Genomic DNA, 20,669 nt, shown 5'->3' on the forward strand with positions numbered 1-20,669 from the left:
TTTTGTTTTTAAAATTTTTTTATGTTTTTTGATTTACATTTGTTTCTTCATTGGTCACCTATTTTTTGGTTGTCTTGGTTTTCTATGCTTCATATATGTAGTGGTTCTTAGTTCACTTATATTTAAGAATGGAAGACCGGTGACTCTTGTTATTTTTCTCTGTCGTATATGTCCATTTTTCTACTAGGTCTCTCCCACTAGTAGGACTAGGACTGGGAACCAAGGTAGAGACAGTGCTTATCACAATTAGGGTGAGCAGGTGAGGAGATCGCTCTTTGGATGCTAAAATGAGGAGAGTGCCATCCTTTGGCATGGGAAGCCATTCCAGAAACTTCAAAACCTTAGTTCTCCCTGTGCAATTAATTAAGATTCAATAAGAGTACTAATTTGGATTCCTGAAAGTATAATGCTGGGCTGCTTAGGCTTAGTGTTCATTGAGATAAGGAAGAGACTAGCAGTGAGGTTGGTGTGGGACACCTGACTAGCATATTTCATTATACAGACTTTCAATTAACTCTGTTTTGAGTTGTTCTTCGTACTCCCACCTTGCCTGGTATTGCTGTCTTTGAGCCAGGTAGCTCCCTGGGATAAGGACTTTTCTCCATCATAGACTGTTCACATGTGCACATTTAATCTGAATGATAGGCTCACATATTCCTCCATCTATCAGTGTTCCAATATGACTTGGAACTTCAGCCTAGAATTTATGAATATCTTTTTAAAAATATCCTGTGCTTGCTTTGGCAGCACATATACCAAAATTGGAACGATACAGAGAAGATTAGCATGGTCCCTGCACAAGGATGACACGAAAATTTGTGAGGTAAATTTGAGAGGTTGTTTTTTCTATCAGCATTTGCATTTGCTATAATTGTATTGTGGACTTAGGAGAGAGGAGAGACAAGTTATTTTCAGTGCGCCATTTTGAACTTTAAAAGGCACTTTCAGACACTTGGTTTTAAAAGATCAATCCAGGCCGGGCGCGGTGGCTTACGCCTGTAATCCCAGCACTTTGAGAGGCCTAGGAGGGTGGGTCATCAGGTCAGGAGATGGAGACCATCCTGGCCAACATGGTGAAACCCCATCTCTACTAAAATACAAAAAAAAAAAAAAAATACCCACAAAACAACAACAACAACAACAACAAAACAAAACTGTAGTCCCAGCAACTTGGGAGGCTGAGGCAGGAGAATCACTTGAACCCAGGAGGTGGAGGTTGCAGGGAGCTGAAATCACACCACTGCACTCCAGCCTGGTGTCTCAGGAGACTCCATCTCAAAAAAAAAGAAAAAAAAAAGATTAATCTAGCAATTATATGGAGAATGGACTGTAAGATGGAGAGGCTAGTGTCAGGGAGAATAAGCAGGCTTAGGAATAAGATAGTGACAGTTGTGAACACACAAGAAGAAATAATTTCTTCCCTTAGAATGACAGATACAATTTTAATGTAAATACAATATGTCAATATCCAGACTACATTCTGTTCTAAATTATTTTCTAATTCTATAATTAGGTTCTACATAATTAAAATTTTAACTGCTAACTTTAATAGATAAATTATATTTTCTAAAATCTAATATGGAACCATGACATCTGGCTTTGCATGCAACCCATATAGAAGAATTTATTGAAAGTTAGAAGCTCTAATTCTTTATCTAATTCTTCATTTTTCTTTGTGTTTTTTCTATAACTCCAGAAAAGTTATATCTGAGCTTAATCTTTTAACTCATGATCAGCATAATGTTCAGGCTTTTGATTCTGGAATAAGTACCTCACTCTTACCAGAATAACAGGTTTATTAAGCTGTTTTTATATTATTATTCTCTGGGCTTTGCTTATATTTCCAGTAATTCCTCTGCAGCAAAATAAAATAGTCCCTGCTTCATTAGGACCTGGCAGTGCTACCCTCTGCCAGATCATTGTGGTTGTTACTACCTTTTTATGTTAATTCCAAGTTATTTTTGTTACATTTTTAAAAGTCACCCATTTTATCTGCTTTCTTGCTTTTCATTTTGCCCAGATGCATTAAATTAGGACCCTCAACAAAATAAATTTAAACTGCCTTCTCCAAGGCCTAATATTCTAAGATCTAAATCCAAAGAAAATAACTAAATCCTATCTTTTTGTTAACTCGCTGTAGCATTTAGCCTGGTTAATCACTGCCCACTTTATAGAAATCTCTCCTCTCTTAATTTCTAAAGCATCAGACTTTTGTTTTTCCTGCTATTCTCCAGGTAATTTTGCTCTGTCCCTTGTGGACTCTTCTATTCTTTAAAGTATGGTGTCCCAAGGCTTTCTTCGACTTTTGACACTTATCTTTTCCTGCTATATAGCTTCAAGGTTTTATGTCACGCACTCATAGTTTAACTTTCTAAGTTCAAAACTTTAAGCTAGAGCATTCTCCTGGCAGGTACTTGCAAATTTTCTGGACTTTGATGTTCCATAAGCACCTCAAGACCAATACATTAAGAAATGAATTCCACCTTCTCAACTTCTCTTCTTACTGCACTTATGTGCCGTAAAATGAAATAGTAATGAAAGTATTATAGTATGCATTGATGGTAAATTAGGTACCAAGTAATTTCAGAGTATATATTTTGATGAAAGGACACATACATCCTCATAAATTACACACCAACAACGTACCCATAAAAAATAACAATTTAAAAAACTTTTAAAAAAGGACGAATATATCTTTCCCACCTTGAGTACTCATGTTGGATTGATGCCATATCAAATCAAATCACCACTGAATTTTGTGAAATAAAATACTAACAGTTGAGATTCAAATATGTTGGGTAGTGTGATAAATCCCAGGAAAAGTTATACATCTTTATGAGTTAGACATTCTGACAAATACATCAATGAAAAAATGAAATAGATATGTATCAGAGATGGGTTCATTTAGAAACAAGTGAAAAGAAAGGTTGACAGTAGTCATGTAGAAAAGAAAGACATTATTTTAACAAATTTTATTCTTAAGTTTTTTCCTATGAATTCAAATGTCACAAGTTTTTCCTTATGAGGCAAATCTGGATAATTGTTTTTAAAAATAGTTGTACTTTAACAATTGTGTGCGTATGAGCCGTGTGTGCTTATATGTATTTTTAGAGCTATATATTAAATGGGTTTATTGTTCAAAAAATTAAAAACACAGAATTATTTAAAGTAGTATTTAATTCCCCCCGTTATGCCTGACCCTACATTGAAATAATTACTGTCAATATTTTGGTATGTATTCTAGATTTTTAAATTTTAGAATGCCCTATTTAGTGTACATGTAATTATTTTTATTAACATTTTAAATGAATTATTTCATTTCATTCAATTTCATTTCAGAGTTCACGTGCTATGAAAAGGGTTTGTTTTTCCTTTACCAACAATATTACAGATACTTTTTATCCCTGCTTCCTTCCCTTCCACCCCCATCTGCTTGGCTACCAATCTATCTCATTTTTAAGAGGAGACAATTCCATTCTATGTTTGAACAATAATTTATTAGCTAAATCACCATTGGTGAACTTTAGTATGTCTTCATTTATTTTACTGAGAATGTTAAAACAATGTTGCAGCAAGCACCCTGACACATCTTTGGAAGCTTTTGTGATTACTTAGCAAATCTATAGGCAAAGTTGCTTACTCGACTAAAATATACATTTAAAATAAATGCACTTGAAGCAAATTTTCTCTCCTGATTAGTTATATCAATTTACCTTACTGCCAAGAGTATATACTTTCTTGAATCTTTGATAACAATGGATAATTCAGATTTTTGAATCTTCTATTCTGATTCATTTCTTTAATAGAGAATTTGAACATAATTTTATTTTTACTGGCTGTTAATACTTTCTTTTAGTGATTTTTATGTTCCTGTGCTTTTCCTATTTTCTTTCAGTATATTTGTCTCATATATTTGCAGAAGCTCTTTCCTCATTATGGATAAACACTGTGTCTTCTTTTATATTGTAAGCTTTTTTTCAATTGTCTTAGTTTTCATTTGCCTTAGTTGTTTTTTAATTTATTGCATAAGAAGAAAATGTTGAATTTTATTTCTCTATTTTTATATCTAGATTTATATTTGTGTGTGGCCTAAAATCATATTTTAATTTTTCTTAATGGTCATATTAGATAACAATATTTTCAGCTTCATGTTACAGTGTACCTGAACACTTGTGACTTAAGCAATAACACCTTTAATGGTCTCAGCTAAGAATTTTGGAGGTAGGTAGTCCAGGACAGGGAAAACAATTTCATCGTATCTTCAAAGACCTGTGTTCCTTCTATGTTTTTTGGTTTACACTTTTAGAGTATTGGCTTGTTGACTTATTCACACAAGATCATTGCTCTATATTCAGGTATCACATTGTGTTCCCTGGAGGAAGAAGTAATCAGAAAAATAGAGCCAGCAACATCTTCCTCTTTTTACAGAAAAGTAAACGCTTTACTGAAAGTCCTAATAGAGTTATGGTTATGTTTCATTGACAATACCTGACTACATGGGGCCCCTAGATACAAGGAAGCTGAGAAAGTAATAGTTGTAGGGCTGTAGAGTAGACCTATAATCTGGCTATCATGCTTTTAAACGTATATCAAAAATATCTTACATGGTTTTAGATGATTGCGTACCTATGCTTCTGCTGTAGCAAATAAGGAACATAACATTTTCATATTCCTTTCTCTCTTTCTTTCTCTCTCTATCACACACACAGACAGCACATTTAGCCTCTGAGATTGATATGGACAAAAGGGAGTTTGGAAATGCACTAGCTAAACAAAAGTGGCTCCATATTGGCTAAGGTTTTCCTTACCAGAGTTTATTGAATGATTATTCAATGAATAAATAGTCATTTATTTATTGACTTATTCCTTTGAAAAACATCATTTTATCATAAATTAATTTTCCATATAGAGTAAGCATCATTACATTTCTGGACTATGTACTCCTTTTTTTTTTTTTAATTTCTACTAAGAACCAAACTGTCTTAGTTCCTGTAGTTCTTATTTGTACTGAGACGCTGTCAGAGCCAGTAACTGTGTTTCTGGGACTTGGCTGCCAAAAATCAGGAAGACACATATTCCTATTGATGATTGCATGTCCATTTCTCCCAGCTGTGTTTTGTAGGCCAGAATAACCTCGCTCATTAAGGTTGTCTGACTAAGTTAAATTTATGAACAGCCCTTGGGAAGAACTTATTTTCCACAAAAAATATGCATTGTTCTGAATTTGATCACAATCATATGGGTTCCCCAGAGTTAGATCTAGGAGCTTAATACTTCTCTCAAATCTTTACAATATTTCTGTTGATCAAAAAAGTTATCTCATGGTTTTGAAAGGTGAGCTACTAATTTGAAATACCTTAGAGTAGATCTATATCCTGGCTGGCATTCTTTTAAATGTATATCTTAAAAAAATCAATATGGCTTTTAGGTGATTTGCATACCTGTGCTTCTGCTGTAGCAATTAGGAAATTTAACCTTTTCCACCTCTCCCTCTCTCTCTCTTTCTCTCTCTCTCTCTCACACACACGCACATTATATGTACTTATTTTTTAATTTTACAAGAATTGAATCATAGTTCTGCACACATGCAAAGTAAATGCTTTTCCTTTACCAACTATATAATAATTTCCATCCTGTCTATCTCTCTATGTATTTTATCATCTAAAAATCTCATTCTAAGAAAACAGAACCCCATTCTATATGTGAACCATAATTTATTAAACAATTTACCATGTTGAGCATTTTATATATTTATGTATAGTCTTTTTGCATATACTCTTGTATAATAAAAAGACTTGTGGGCACAAAGTAAAACAAAGTAATTTAATTTTTATATTTCTCATTTTCTAAGTCTTCAATATATGGAGGTTGCACCTGGTCATCTCTGATGTTATGCACAGTTGAAACCCTCTGTTTTCTTGTGAGGTCCAGTGCAGGCCATTCATATGTGTGGAAGTGCTTTGAAATACTCTAAATAATTCTAAAAAATAAGATGATATCATTATTATTATTGCTTAAAGATAATAGGCTAGAGATCTATAATGGGATTCTAGAGGGACATTACAGTACTATAATATAAAGGCTCAGGTTAAAATAAAGTCTATATAAGTAAGCCAGACACTGATTACTATAGTTTTGAAAGCCAAATTTTGAATCCGGAATTAAAAATAAAAGTTATACTATTTTGTCAGCATTAGAAAAGAAATTGTTTATGACACTGGTTGTACATTAGAATTACTAGTCTTTTTTTAAAAAAAAGAATTAAGTGACTTAAAAGATACTCTTAGGGATTTTGACTTAATTGGTACAGAATGAGGTCTGGGTATGGATATTTTTAAAAAATAGCTATGTTATTTAAACATTTAGCCTGGGTTAAAAGTCAACATACGATAAGTTGATTTTTCTACATTTATATTGCTTTTTCCTGCTTCTGACCCCTGACCTTAACTCTAGATAGAATATTATGGTTTTATGTTCTTATCATCTTGTTACCTTAAAAGCCTATTTAAAATGGTGGGGCATTTGTATCCATTCTTAGACCTACTCACACTTGCTCAATGACCTTGAGTCACCAAACTGGGACTTGACTCCATGGATGTGTCTTGGTTTGGCCTATACATTTCCTCTGAAGGCGATCAGGATGCAACATACAAATGACCAAAAATGAGTGGATTTTCTGTATAATTTTAAATAATTTTAGATTTTGTGTACTGATGGTTTAGCTCTTAAATGACAAATAGAAAATCAGAGTTGGGACTCTACTTTCAATTATATGCTTGATTTTATGGTGCTTTTATTTAACTGTTTGGTACGCCAATGTTACTCAGTTTCCTTAGAAAAATAGGAATATATGCATTCACTAAATTGATGGAAACTGTCCATCAATTCAGTCTGCTCATTAAAAATAGTAATTACTAAACTTTCATCATGTGCATAATACATTAACAAATATAGTGTTTCTCAGTTTATTAAAAACATAACATCAAATTTTACCCTTCTACACACAAAATTGATGTGTTTTATTTCCCAGATTACAGAAAGAACAAAATGAATACTCAATAGAAATTTGTATTTTCAAGATTCTGCTGGTGTAGCTAAGCAATGCCATCATAATGTGAAGTGTTGCTGCCATCTGCAGCATGAAAGACTTATTAAACATATATATTACCTAGGCATATGTAACTGGATTTTAAAAAGTAACAACTGTTTAATTCTCTATTAGTCTTTCTATGTATTTTCTACAGCTAGCTTTCAACATAATTAAAAATATGGTATAGTTTAAAACATTCAATGTACTTAAGAATATAATATAGGTGCCAAAATGAATACTGACATTTTATTTTATTATTTGGTTAAGCTAAAATTAATATTGAAGAGGCAATGAAATGGTAGACCGAAACTGCTTTTATGATTTATTGATATTGGAAAATATTTTCCAAATCTTTTATGTTTAATAAAGTTTTTTATTAATTACTCCAATATAATGTAAACTTTTTCTCAAAGGTATTTTTTCAGGCTTACACATTGGCTACTTTATCTATTATGTGGAATAATAACCACAAAGATAACCACAGAATAACACCACAGATATACTATCAGTGGATAAAAGAGTTAAAGTTGTTTATATGTTACCTTTCTAAATAGAAAGAGTACATAATATTGATGAGAATATTATTAATTCAGGTCTTAAAGGAATAAAAGCATCTCTCCCCTAGTTTTTTGGCTTCCCATTTTATTTCCTTATTTTAAAAGTGATTTCCTTGTGCCATTTCCTGCCCACTCATATTCTTCATTCTGGAAGGTCGACAAAAAGCTAACAGTTTTGTAAAATCTGTCAAGTTACTTAACCTTCCTGAGCATTGATTTTTTTCATCTGTACCTTTGGGCTTATAATGTGTGGCACTGGAATCAGATGAGAAATGTTTGTAAGAAGTCTAGCCCAGTGTCTCATAATGTTCATTAATGCTAGGCTTTATATATTTGTGAAACAAATAGTCTTATCGTGTTTTAATTTTGTTTTGGGCAAAATATCAAATTTTAATATTTGAAATCTCTTATAGTTCCATTGTAATTGTTTTTTAAAAACAATATATTTATAATTAAATCAAAAATGCCTTGAAATGCATTTTCAATAATGCTGATAATAATACTTGGCAGACAGTCATAAAATAGAGGCTCAGCCAGCAAAAGTTACTATGGTTTTTTCCATTTCTTTAACAAGATTTTTAATGAAAATTTTTTTCTTTTTAAAATATATTATAGATCCTTTAAATTATTCAATTCAAATTATTTAAATATGTGATGCCTAAATTTAACACCTAGACAGTTAGAATGAACCACAATACATGTCACTAAGTACAATTCCCACCTATTTTTAATGGCAAAAATTTCACAGCATAAGAAATAGACAAAATCCATTTACACTTATTTAGAGAAATTTTATTAAAAAGAATTTTTTCTTCCAAGGTGAGCAAAACACAATGTAAGGAGAAATGATAAAAATCAAAGTGTATAGAAAGGAAAAAATGCTTAATTTGAAAAGTCAAAATATGATAAACAATAATTTCATTTCCCCTTATTTTAGCAATTAAAGAAACAATAATATAAAACTTACCAAACAGGAGTAAGAGTAAATTATGAAGTAGTAAACGTTTATGTTATTTCCTCAGTTTGTTTTCATTTTGAAAATAAAATACAACAAATCTAAAAATAATGTGTCCATAAACCTCTAATTAAGGCTCAAATGAATTAGAATTTCAGTGTGCAACCTGTCTGGGCTATAACCTGAATTCTTCAGATCATCTATCCAAACCCCTCTTTTGTAGGAAAGTCTGATTTATCTAACAAGTTTTAGCTTCCTTCCTTCCAGATATTATGGCTTCGGAAAGATATTGTTTTGTTCCTCCTTAATACTTGTCAATTCGCTCAGATTCAGTTTCCGAGTTTCAATACAGTTTCTAAACAATTTCGAAAGCCCCTAGAAGATGCTTTGGCCAAATACAAAGTACGTAAATTCAGAAGAAAATATTAGTTGAATCATCATCTAGCACCATCACTTGGAGGATACGTGGGGCACAGCTGAGTGGGACAATGTGGCCTAGCCTAAGAGAGTCTGACCTCATTAAGCACATTCTGATCTTATGCAACCTCTTCATTCTTCATTCTGACTACTATATTTCTATTTCTTCTGTGCCTTTGTTTGTGCTGTGCTCTTCGCTTGGAATGTTCTCCCAGCCAAACACTTCCTAGCTTTGACCCCACTTAGCATGGAAGACACATATTCAACTCATGCGTTATTTGTTAGCTACTCTCTAGGGGTACTAACTTTCCACCTTAAATGGTATTGAATGCTTCCTTTTTTTGTGCCTTTGTGGTACATTCTTTTTATTGTAGCACCTGTAACACTGATTTGAACCTGTTCTTATGAGTGTCATGGCCATACCTTCAGTTTCTAATGACAAAAATTGGAATGAACTGATTTTATATACTAGAGTTCTTAAAATCCTTTACATTCCATATCTAACGAAATGCCAAGTTTTGTCAATTTCTCTTCCTAAACTTGCCTTGCAAGACTGTATGTGATTTAGCCCCTAGCTACTTTTCCTACAGCAGTTCATTTCTCTCTCTTCTTGTTTACTGTACTCCATACTGGCTTCCTGTGCTTCTCAAACTTGCCCAGTTGCTCTTGACTCAGAGCCTTTGAATTTGCTTTTTTTTTTTTTTTTTTTTTTTTTTTTGAGACGGAGTCTTTCTCTGTCGCCCAGGCTGGAGTGCAGTGGTACGATTTCGGCTCACTGCAATCTCGGCCTCCCGGGTTCAAGCAATTCTTCTACCTCAGCCTCCCGAGTAGCTGGGACTACAGGCCACGCTGCCATGCCCAGTTAATTTTTTGTATTTTAGCAGAGATGGAGTTTCACCGTGTTGCCCGGCTGTTCGAGAACTCCTGAGCTCAGGCAAGCCGCCCGCCTTGGCCTCTCAAAGTGCTGGGATTATAGGCGTGAGCCACCGCGCCTGCCCCGCATTTACTTTTATATCTGCCTGGTACACTCTTTTCCTAAATATTCTTAAGTCATGCTTTCTTCTTTCTGGTCTACGCTAAAATGTAACAGCAGTTCTATTTCTATTTTGTTACCCTGAATTACTTTTTCATGGGTTTGAGGGTGTAAAATTCTCATCCTTCTAGGAAAGAATTGATTGTTCACTCCTTGCATTAACAATCAAACGAGTAACAATCAAAACTAGTATTAAACCTGCTTAATCAATCAATGATTGATTACAAAAGTACACACACTCTGAAAGACAATTGGAAACATCTTCTTTACATGATTTCTGAAAATCAGATAATCAGCAATAGCTTTAGTCCAGTGAATAGATTCCTAAGGGTCAGCCAGTCAGTGAACATATTTACATAGCTAAAGTCAATACTCCAGCATTTAAACTCCACACTTTCCCAAAACCTTATATAATTTACCTTCTTTGCTTATAAATTGTGTCTTGCAAAACCAGTTCTCCCTTGCCTGAACAAGTAATAAGTTCAGCTTATTGTTTTAGATATTGAGTGGTAGATTCCTTGTCAATATTTGTGGTTATCTATGGTAACCTTAACGTGTTGTTATCTGTTGGTTTATTATCAACTCTATTCTATGTAAGCTCCACAAAGGCAGGAACCTTGTTGCTTTTGTTTACTGTTATAACTTAATGCTGACATTGATGCCTAGTGCAGTGTATGCATTCCAGAAATATTTGTTGAAGAGAGTTTAGAGCAGGGACAATGTACCATTGAATATAATATCCCCAGTGCCTAATATGGAGCCTAGTACATAGAAGTGGTTTCAAAAATATTAGCTAAATAAGTGAATGAATAAGAAAAAGTTCAAGAGTGACTATAGTTAATAACAATGTTTTGTATTCTTGAAGATTGCTAGTAGTAGATTTTAAGTGTTCTCAGCACAAAACAAAGTGAGATAATGCCTATGTTAATTAGCTCAAGTTAGCCATTCTACAATGTATAGATATATTTCAATACATCATGTTGTACATGATAAATATTACACTTTTATTGGTCAATTATACAATAAATAAAAATGAAAAAATGATTAATTGTCCATGTATTATTTAACACATTTTTAGGAACATCCTTGAAGTAAACCAGAAATTATTCAGATCTTAATGGGTCCACATCTAGTTCTCTTAAACTCACTTCTCTTTTTAGAAATATTCTAGTTGAAAAGATACCCACTTTCCTTTTTTGACATCTCTTTTTGAAAGACTTAAAGGCATTACAATTTCAATGACTAAAACTGAACCTATGCTCTTCCCCTAAACCAGATCCTCTTTTAATATTTCCTCTGTCAGTAAATGGCATAGGCCAGAAATCCTTTCTCCCTCACAGAGAGTAGGTAGGAAGAAACTAGACAGGTAGTCAGTTAGGGTGGGTCCTGGGTTGAATTCTTTCAAACAAAAGAACAGCCTGCAGGCATAAATAAGGGAACTTGCATAGGAGGGCTTGCCTAAGACATGGCCTCACTGCATAGATAAGACAGGCCACACAGCTGACTTGCCCAGACATGTCTGCAATGGAAAATTCCATCCCCTGACACATGTGCAGTAAGGGGAACAAAGCAATATGGAGTAACTCAAGGTAAGGGCCTGCATGCACACTAGGAGGACAGAGTGGAGCTACCAGAAATTTGTACTTTATGCAAATTAGATGCCCAGCCCTCATTGGTTTCTTAAAAAAGCCTCTGTATTCAACTGTAAAATGGCAACTCTTTTCTGGGACCCTTCTCTGTGGCAGAGAGCTTTCTCTCTTTCTTTTGCTTATTAAACTGCTGCTCTAACCTCACCCTTGGCATGTCGCCTTCTTGATTTTCTCAGCTGTGAGACAAAGAACTTCGGAAAAATTTAGTTTGTAGTTTAAAAGAGAATAGCCCTTACCAGAACAAAACTGTCTCTATAAATCTAATGAAAGGCCACCAGGTTAAAAGGATGAAAGGGGCCTGAACTCTGCTAAGATGTAGGTGTAATTAAATGATTACCAACCATTATACTGCAGGTCACAAGATTTACAACTTTCCCAATTACTCCTGTAAATACCATTACTATTGTAGAAACTAAGATTGGCTTTTTGAGATGTCTTTTCAGGCTTTTGCATTTCAAATAACCGAATGGTCCTGCCTAGACCAGCAACTCCTCTGTGGCTTCCACCCAGAAGTGGACTCAGTGCATGAAGACCATTTTCCACACCCCTACGTTTGTATCCCCAACCAATCAGCAGCACCCATTCCCTAGCCCCCTGCTTGCCAAATGATTCTTGAAAAACCCTAGCCTTCAAATGTTCAGGGAGGCTGATTTGAGTGCTAATTAAATCCAGCATCACTCCCTCCTTCTCTGACCAAGTCAAATTGCCATATCTTAGCATCTTGTCCCTCTCCATTAAACACTTCTCATATCTGAAACGTAATCTGTGTTCTTGTCATTATTGGATTAAAAGCTATCTCTTCAACTAAACTGTTACCACTGTAAGAGAAGGGTCTACTTATTGGCATGTAAGAGCAAGTAAATAAATATTTATTTAAATGAATGAATGAATGAGAGTTGTGTGAATCTGGTCAAGTTTTTCCCAGTAAACACAGTAAACAGAGTTGGAGTAAACAGAGTTGGAGCCTGTATTCTGGGGTTGTCCTGGGGACAAGAGGCAGTAGTGCACTAGGAAACACTGTTGTACAAGTATCAGTCCTGGTCTAGAGCTGCATGCTTTTCACTAAAAATCATAAGGTCTGGCTAGTCTCTCATGGACTTATGTTTGGTGGAAAAGGGAAAAGTAGAGCATGAAAGAGATAAGAAGATCAATTTTACCTTTAATAAGAAAGGAGAGACAGAATGGGTCTCAGTTTATTGTACTATGCCAACTTGGAAGCAAAGCGCTACATCAGGTTTTTATTTAAATGCAGCCAATTTTTAAATGAGTGATATATTCTAAGAAGGATTTTAATCTTTAGTGAGTCTCCCTTTGGTGTAAGTGTTGAATAGCTCTGTCCAATATTTTAGGGTTCATTTAATATTAAAAAAAGTCTCCAAAGCAGTTTATCATGGTAAAATGCAGCACTTACAAATGATAATTTCTTTTTCCCATTTTTGCCCCATGGTGAAAATCTCAGCTGTTGCTGCTATGACATCAGTTATAAAAATCTTATATTTTAGAAACCAAAAGTAAAGGACAAGAGAAGATAGGAAAGCAAGATTATCTTTAGGAAGAAAATTGGGACATGAAGCAGGAGTGCTGGGTGGGAAGGGGGGAAGACAATTTCCCAGGCAGTCATCCTCATACTGACTGATTTTCCTTTGTTATCATTTCGTTACCCTACCAGAAATTTATATAAAGCATGGTGCCTGGCATGTTATTTGTCCTCCATTTTATTAGTTAATGAGCATCAGCTTTAAAAGTGTAATTTACTTTAGCTGATTATAAGAAAACCATAAATCCCATATATTTGAAATGCAGTAGATTGAGAGGAAAGGGAAGGAATGCTAAGCTCTTCTTCATCATCACCAGAGTTCTTCAAGGTAATATGAGAATCTCAAGGAGATCCCCAAAGATCACAGTTTAAGGTTGCAGCACTGGCAAACAGCAAAATTAGATTCCAGGTTATGTCTATTGCATAAAAGGTTTTTGTTCCCTTCTATGACTGCATTGCTTCCAGAATGAAGGTGATACCAGTTACACTGAAAAAATAAATGGTATGACTGGGAGAAAGGTCGCACGTGATTTTAAAATATAGTTATTTTTTGGTAGTTAATTCCTAAACTACTCTGCCTCAGGTACAAGATATGTTATGGTCGATTGAGGCAATGTATATTCTTTGCATGCCAAAGGAGGGGGTTATCAGAAAATGTTAAGGTGTAAATAAGGAAAAAGAAACTGAAGAATACTGAACCAGAGTATGGGGGAGAGAAGCTTTTCATTTTTATGTTATACAGCATAAAGCCCTTACTCCAGAGCCTAGAACTAAATTGATATTTGTGTGTTCTCTGGGGAACTTACTACCACCCATAATATTATTTCTAGGAAATGATCATCTCCTAATTTCAAATGACTCTAACTTGACTAACTTAGTAACAGATGTTTAGCATACATTCTCTTTTTCTAAGTGAAGAATCGCCTGGAATTTCTTGAAACACCCTTATACATGCATAAAACTGTAGGTGGTATTTGTGTAAGTCTAAAATAGAGCCTACATGGCTTCATGGTACCTTGCTTAAAAGAAATCTGTTCCATTTGGAAGAAGGAGAGAATAATTATTGTCATTCATAACAAATTTTCCTTTTGTGTAGGTTTTGGAGATATGTTGATAACTAGTGGATAGTAATCAGGAAAACTCCATAAATGTTGAAGTGAAATATATTAATTTAATTGAATGTACTGGACTCTTTTACTTCTGCATTTGACTCATGGATTAAGATTTTATTTATTTGGTTTCCTTTGCTTGTTTTTAAGTCCTTGAGTTGTCTATTTTTCAGAGCCTTAGATCCCTTAATTGATTGAATTTTCACTGCAAATAGATAAAATTCCTGCTAGACAACACTGCAGGTCTTAGAGGTCTATTTATATGCTTATTTAAATCTCTGGCATGAGTAGGTATTTAAAGCATGCTTTGGTTTGTAAATACTAGTTTCTTTATGGAATGTAACTGTGCCTCTTACCACTAGAATGAATTGATACCATCTATCTTCCTCTTCATCTTTAGATATATTATTTACCCAACTTTTAACTTTTCCAGTGTAAAGTAATAATATCTCACTACAATAAGAAAATTAATAAACAAAGTATAAAGGGACTACTTTTGAAAAAATGTTTTAGAAACTCAGTCCTTTTGATTAGTAACTAGCCTTAGTACCAGAAAAACTTCAAAAGTGTTCTCTAAACATTGAATTTTCATCAGTGATGCTGCAAGCCTTAGTTCTCATCTTTCATGCTTACCATTGCAATAACTTCAAAAGGATAAAAAGAAAGAATGGTAATCTCTCAAAGCAACCTTGTGCTCAGGCCAGTAATCACGTATTTAGCTATCATGCATTCACAACTAGATAATTGCCTCATTAAACTGTTTTAATAAATATAATAATTAACATTTTTTTTTAACAAAAAAGCAAACATTCAAACCATTCAGAAATGAAATCCAGAGCCCAAGGGATTTCTAGAAGAAAATGAAAAAGAGTTAGATAGCGTCAAATATAGACATCTTCAAAGGGAAAGAGATCATTTAAACTTGCTTTTTACTTACTGAAATATGTTCTGCATATTTTATTGTTTTCATTATCTTGGTTATTATAATCCAGCCAGTGAATGTTCAAAGAACATAAAATCCTACAAATAAGTAAACTGAATATAAGTGAATTTACAAAAAGACAACAATTAAGATCAAAAGTTTGACATGCAAGCTTTGATTATGTAAAGCAATTATATTTCCAGTGGTGTTCCAGTATTATGATTTAACAGAAGAAGAAAAATTTAAAAGTCTTAAGCTTTACAACATTTTATTTTCATGTTGAATTTTCAGAGTATAAGTAACTTAGAAACCCTATCTGAATCTGCATGGTATTGTCAAAGTGTTCCAGTATTATATGATTTATCTGGAGAAGAAAAATTTAAAAATTTTAAGCTTCGTGACTTTTTATTTTCATGTTGAATTTTCAGAGTATAAGTAACTTGGAAACTTTATCTAAATCTGCATAGTATTGTCAAACTTTTGGGTGATAAACCCTTTGCAGAATTAGACTGTATGCATTCTGGGTCAGTGTAGGAAGTTATAATGGATACGAATATTTGAACAAAAATTAGATATATTACCAGAGATAATGTGGTCAGCAATAGGTGGTTATTTGAGGGAGTACTGAAAACTACACCAGAGAGAACTCAAAGAGTGAGTGGTGAGTCGGAGGAGTGGTGGGTTGTGAAGCCGTATCTTGGAACCAGAAGAGACCAAAAATTAGATTTCATTTGTGATTTAGATTTGTATTTAAATGAGGAAATAACCTTATACCAGCAGCTTTCTAAAGCTTTCGCCTGAATAAAATAGAAACAGCAATTAAAAATTAAAAACATAATTCTTTCTATAAAATTATGTATAAGGAAAGTAATTTATCTTGGTAATACATGTAAGAAATAGTTTTATAAGCTATATTGGCTGGCAAAAAAAGGCAAATGTTTTACAATATGATGGTAAAAAGAAAAAAAGAGAAATGAATGGGAGTCATTAACTATTCTCAGTGAACATTTCTCCCTTAAATGCTGGAGTTTAAAAGTTATCCTTTTAGATGATTAGGGTATTATCTAGATCAGTGCTTCTTAAATTTATAGTGCATAGAGGAAGCACCTGGGCATCTTGTTCAAGTGCAGGTCCTGATGCATCTGGGGTGGGATCTGAGATTCTTTGCTTTGAGCGAGCTTCTAGGTGGTGCAGATGCTTGCACTTTGCACCACACTTTGAGTATGACCTAGATCAACCTTTACGGAACCTACATCTCATCAATCTCTCAAAGCATATGGACTAAGAAATACATGCTTTTTCAAGAAGAACATATGTTTAGAGGGTTTCTGAAACAATAAGAAAAACTGATAAGGTTTAAAATACAGAGAACTGTAGTTCCAATTTTGGCAGTACATTTTAACTATCAGCTTGTTATGTAAAATAGGTGAGTAGGGCAGATTAAAAAGGATCTATTTCTAAATATTAACGTTAAGTGTGGGGCTTAATCAGAAAGGCCTAATGAAGATCTTGGGGAAAGGGTGTGTGTGTGGAGGGGTTGGTGTTGAAGTCAGAATGATCAAAGATGGGAACAGTAAGCAAAGGAAGGGTGACAAGTTAAAAGCACTGTCCAGTGGATAGAGGAGAATAGGGAAGAGATGACATTAGGCAACAGGCAAGGTGGACTAAGCTGGTTAGATTTGCAGATGAAAATGGGAGTTGAGAGTAAGTGACAACTTAGTAAGTTTAAAAACCTAGCACTCTATAGATATTACTTCCATCTTCTACCAATAATAGGAGACTGGTAAGTTAAAATAATTCCTCTGAAATCCTGGAGAAATAATCCTAATATACATACTTGTATATGTATATGTATATGTATATATGCATATATATATACATATATATCTATGTATTAAATTCTGAGTTTCAGTGAAGTCATCAGGGAATAATTTTTAGTTCATATATTTTCCAAATATCATTAGAAGAGACTCAGTAAATAGGGCATTAATGTAAACAATCAGATTTAGCATTCTGAAACCCCAGAAAACAATAAAACATGAGAAGGAATTTAAGCTTTATAAAAATTTCATGATTACCAAAAGTGCATAACCTGAATCTAACCATGACACAAACTGAAATTAGGCCACAGTTTACAAAATAATTGGCTTATGCACTTAAAAAATGCCAATGTCGGCTGGGCAAGGTGGCTCACACCTATAATCCCAGCACTTTGGGAGGCCAAAGCGGGTGGATCACGAGGTCAGAAGATCGAGACCATCCTGGCTAACACAGTGAAACCCCATCTCTACTAAAAATACAAAAAAATTAGCCGGGTATGGTGGCACATGCCTGTAATCCCAGCTACTCGGGAGGCTGAGGCAGGAGAATCGCTTGAACCTGGGAGGCAGAGGTTGTGGTGAGCCAAGATTGCGCCACTGCACTCCAGCCTGGGTGACAGAGTGAGACTCTATCTCAAAAAATAGAACAAAAAATAAAACAAAAACAAAAATGCCAATGTCATGAGACTCAGGGAAATGCACATGCATGTGCACATGTTCATGCACACACATATACACACACACACACCCCTTAGGAACAGTTCCAGGTGAAAAGAAACAAATGAGATGTGACAAAATGGACATACTTCATGATCTTGGATTTTCTATTGTCAGAAAGGACATCATTATGCAAATCAGTGCAAACCGAATAAAGTCTGTAGATTAGATAATAGCATTGAATCAGTGTTTAGTGCCTGACTTTGACAATAGTACTGTGATGTGTAAAAAAATTCCTTGTTTTTAGGAAATGCACACTAATATAATTAGGGGAAAAGGCATCATGTCTGCAACCTACTCTCAACTCTTATGCTGTTTGTTTTAATCACTTATGTGTGTGCCTGTGTATACACATCTTTTTCATGTATTTATAGAAAATACATGTGTTTATATATCAACAAATAAAAACTCCATAAGTTTTTATGGCTGCATTGAAAATGGTAGGAAATTAGGTAAATATTAGAGGGAAAACTAAGAACAGGATATAGGTCAAGCATTTTGATACAGGTATTATTTGACTTCTGTTCTTCTATCACCAATCTCCATATACCAAAGAAGAAAAGGTTTTCAATATAATTGTAAGTTGGAAAGTAATAACAAGAACATAGTATCTTAGAAATAATGGCAACTGGTACCTATTAACTCATCAAATCATTTCATGTGTCTATGTTCACACTGAGAAGGCAACATTCTTAATATCATCTAGCTCACTATTATGCAATGAACCAGTCTGGAACTTTATCCAGGATAAATCATGTGATATTTATGTTTGCATATTTTTTAGTTCAAGTGAAAATAAGCCAAAAATCTAAATTGAACGTAAAAGCAAGGGGAAACTAGGTTTTAAAGAAATGATGAATAGGATGTGATAACACTTCAATCTTTGAGAAAGGGGATATGAGATCACTGAAGAGGGGCTGCCTAACAGAAATGCAGGGTTCTAAATTCTAATTTTTGAAGAACATTGGTCCTAAGCTATCCTTCTATGAATAAAATATACTCTTTGGGGGTAAAAACTGTGTAAATGGGATAGGCTATATTGTAATTAACAAGCAAGAGGGAGAATAACAAATCACTCATGCTCTCAAAGCCCATACTTACAAAGAGAAAACAGGCACCGATCATTGCTGCTTTGACTGTTACATCTAGATCTGCAGGAACATGAATTCCGAAATTGTCAGCATTTGTGAAGACATCATTTACAAATCCTGACCAGTACTTTGAAATCTTCCCAATTGTAAGCTTTTCATTAATGGTTTTCACCTTTAGAAAGAAAATAAGGAGTATTAAATTTGACAGTGAAAAAAGTTGGTTTTATACTTCTGAGGGTGTTTACTTCATGAGAGATTTGAATTATTTTATTTGTCATCTTCAAAATGACAATTCCATGTTATTCATTCCATCATATAAGCATAGGTTTGTAAATTTAGCTTTTCAGTTTACTTTTTAGAAACTTTGCTTTTTTGACAGTTTTCTAGTCCATCATAATTCTTTTTCTTTTTTGTATGCAGATGGAGAATATCAGGATAAATAATTAAGGCTCAGCCACCACAAGATGGCAGCAGGTACATAGTTCAATTGTATCATCTAAGCATGAAGGCGATTTCTTTACTTGAGGTCCAGATTTTAAACCTGAATTCTCCATCTTAAAAATGTAAAAGAAGATATGTTTGAAAAAATATTTCAGAAGGAATTAAATTAATTTCTAGGCATAATTTGTAAACTTTCAAATTTCAGTTGCTAAAATTTTATAATTATTAAAACATTTAAATATTATTGGCCATTGTTAAATCACATTTTTATATTATACTCAGACATTTATTAGGTCAATACTTTCTAACAAATCCTAAATCCTATTTTTACATTAAAAAAATCCTCCTGGTTAATGTACCATATAGGAAGTTAAGACCAACTAGACATCAATCAGTCCTTCTCAGCTAGAAGGAGTTCACAAATCAACTTTATCAGCTATTTGTTTGTTTATTCTGCTTCCCATCCTGATGCTGAAAGTAATTCAAGAGAAACTATCACTTTTTTCAGGGTAGTAAAAGATAGAGAATAGAGAGGGTTACTTAGGACATTTCTATAGCATGAATGCTAAAACTCTTATGTTTAAAGTCCTCCTCAATCATATTACTCGTAGGAAAGTCATGCCAAATCCTTTGGGGATAGGGTGAAGTTGGAACAGCTCAGTTTGCAAAATTTGCATTGTATTCTACGTGCATAGTGTTTCCTGAAGTCCTGAGAACTAAATGCCCTTGCTGAGATATTTATGTATGAATGGATGAAAAATAAATATACACTTTCAATTAGGCTGTCTCCTCTACCTAAGTTGTATGTCCAGGACAACCTGTTAAGATAGTTTATATTGCTACAGATCAAATTTACAACTTTCTATTTTTTAAATATTCAATTTATACAAATACGAGAATAAGGTTTTTTTTTGTTTTTTTTTTTTGTTTTTTTTACAAAACTAACTTAGCAAGTCTTAGAAACACAGCTTTTGAGTTAATGCTGTTTTAATGTAACGTGCTGCTGAAATGAGATCTAAACTGGGATATGTGATCTCAAGGCCCATAGGAAAGAAGATACATAATTTAGGTGATTCTAAACTGTATATATTGGCTTTATTGCCATGTGTCCTGTGATTCTACATAAATAAAACATACTGAAACAAGAATGAAGTGCTAATTTTCAAAATCAGGAAATATTGGTTATCTTAAAAAGGCAAAGCTATGTGTCCAAAAATTTTTGATGTTCAAAGTCTTGCACACATTAAAATAGCAACACATTTACTATTCTAATCAAAGAGATATAGTAGCTTTGTCCATAGAACACATAGAATTATATTTAGCTAAACATG

The 20,669-nt window shown here is 33.8% G+C and overlaps 1 protein-coding gene, 1 long non-coding RNA gene and 1 pseudogene across 4 annotated transcripts in view, besides 1 other annotated feature; 2 read left to right on the forward strand and 1 right to left on the reverse strand.

Annotated features, from left to right (window-relative positions):
• On the forward strand, positions 732-822 carry RNU6-428P (RNA, U6 small nuclear 428, pseudogene; annotated as a pseudogene).
• PLSCR5 (phospholipid scramblase family member 5) overlaps positions 5,810-20,669 on the reverse strand; it is a 28,792-nt gene continuing 13,932 nt past the window's right edge. The window contains exons 6-8 of one of the 3 annotated variants that reach the window (NM_001321245.2): positions 18,908-19,069; positions 15,285-15,367; positions 5,810-5,980 (exon numbers count right to left, since the gene is read on the reverse strand). In NM_001321245.2, the coding sequence (NP_001308174.1) occupies positions 15,329-15,367; positions 18,908-19,069 (201 nt within the window). In that variant the 3' untranslated portion in view covers positions 5,810-5,980; positions 15,285-15,328. Of the gene's footprint in view, positions 5,981-15,091; positions 15,198-15,284; positions 15,368-18,627; positions 19,070-20,669 lie in introns of those variants that run through there. The other 2 variants (NM_001085420.2, XM_017006373.2) reach the window with 2 other exon arrangements.
• Positions 10,936-12,135: an enhancer, noted in NCBI's record as "MED14-independent group 3 enhancer chr3:146299468-146300667 (GRCh37/hg19 assembly coordinates)". NCBI's record gives its function as "activates an origin of replication core promoter dependent on BRD2, BRD4, P300/CBP and CDK7 cofactors, and independent of MED14, by STARR-seq in HCT116 cells {active_cell/tissue: HCT116}" and the evidence as "EXISTENCE:reporter gene assay evidence [ECO:0000049][PMID:35650434]".
• PLSCR5-AS1 (PLSCR5 antisense RNA 1) lies at positions 18,857-19,580 on the forward strand. Its single transcript, NR_046698.1, has 2 exons — positions 18,857-19,043; positions 19,318-19,580. It is a non-coding gene; the product is annotated as a PLSCR5 antisense RNA 1 (long non-coding RNA).

This window comes from Homo sapiens, chromosome 3, assembly GCF_000001405.40.
Source record: "Homo sapiens chromosome 3, GRCh38.p14 Primary Assembly".
In the NCBI taxonomy this organism is placed as follows: Eukaryota; Metazoa; Chordata; class Mammalia; order Primates; family Hominidae; genus Homo; species Homo sapiens.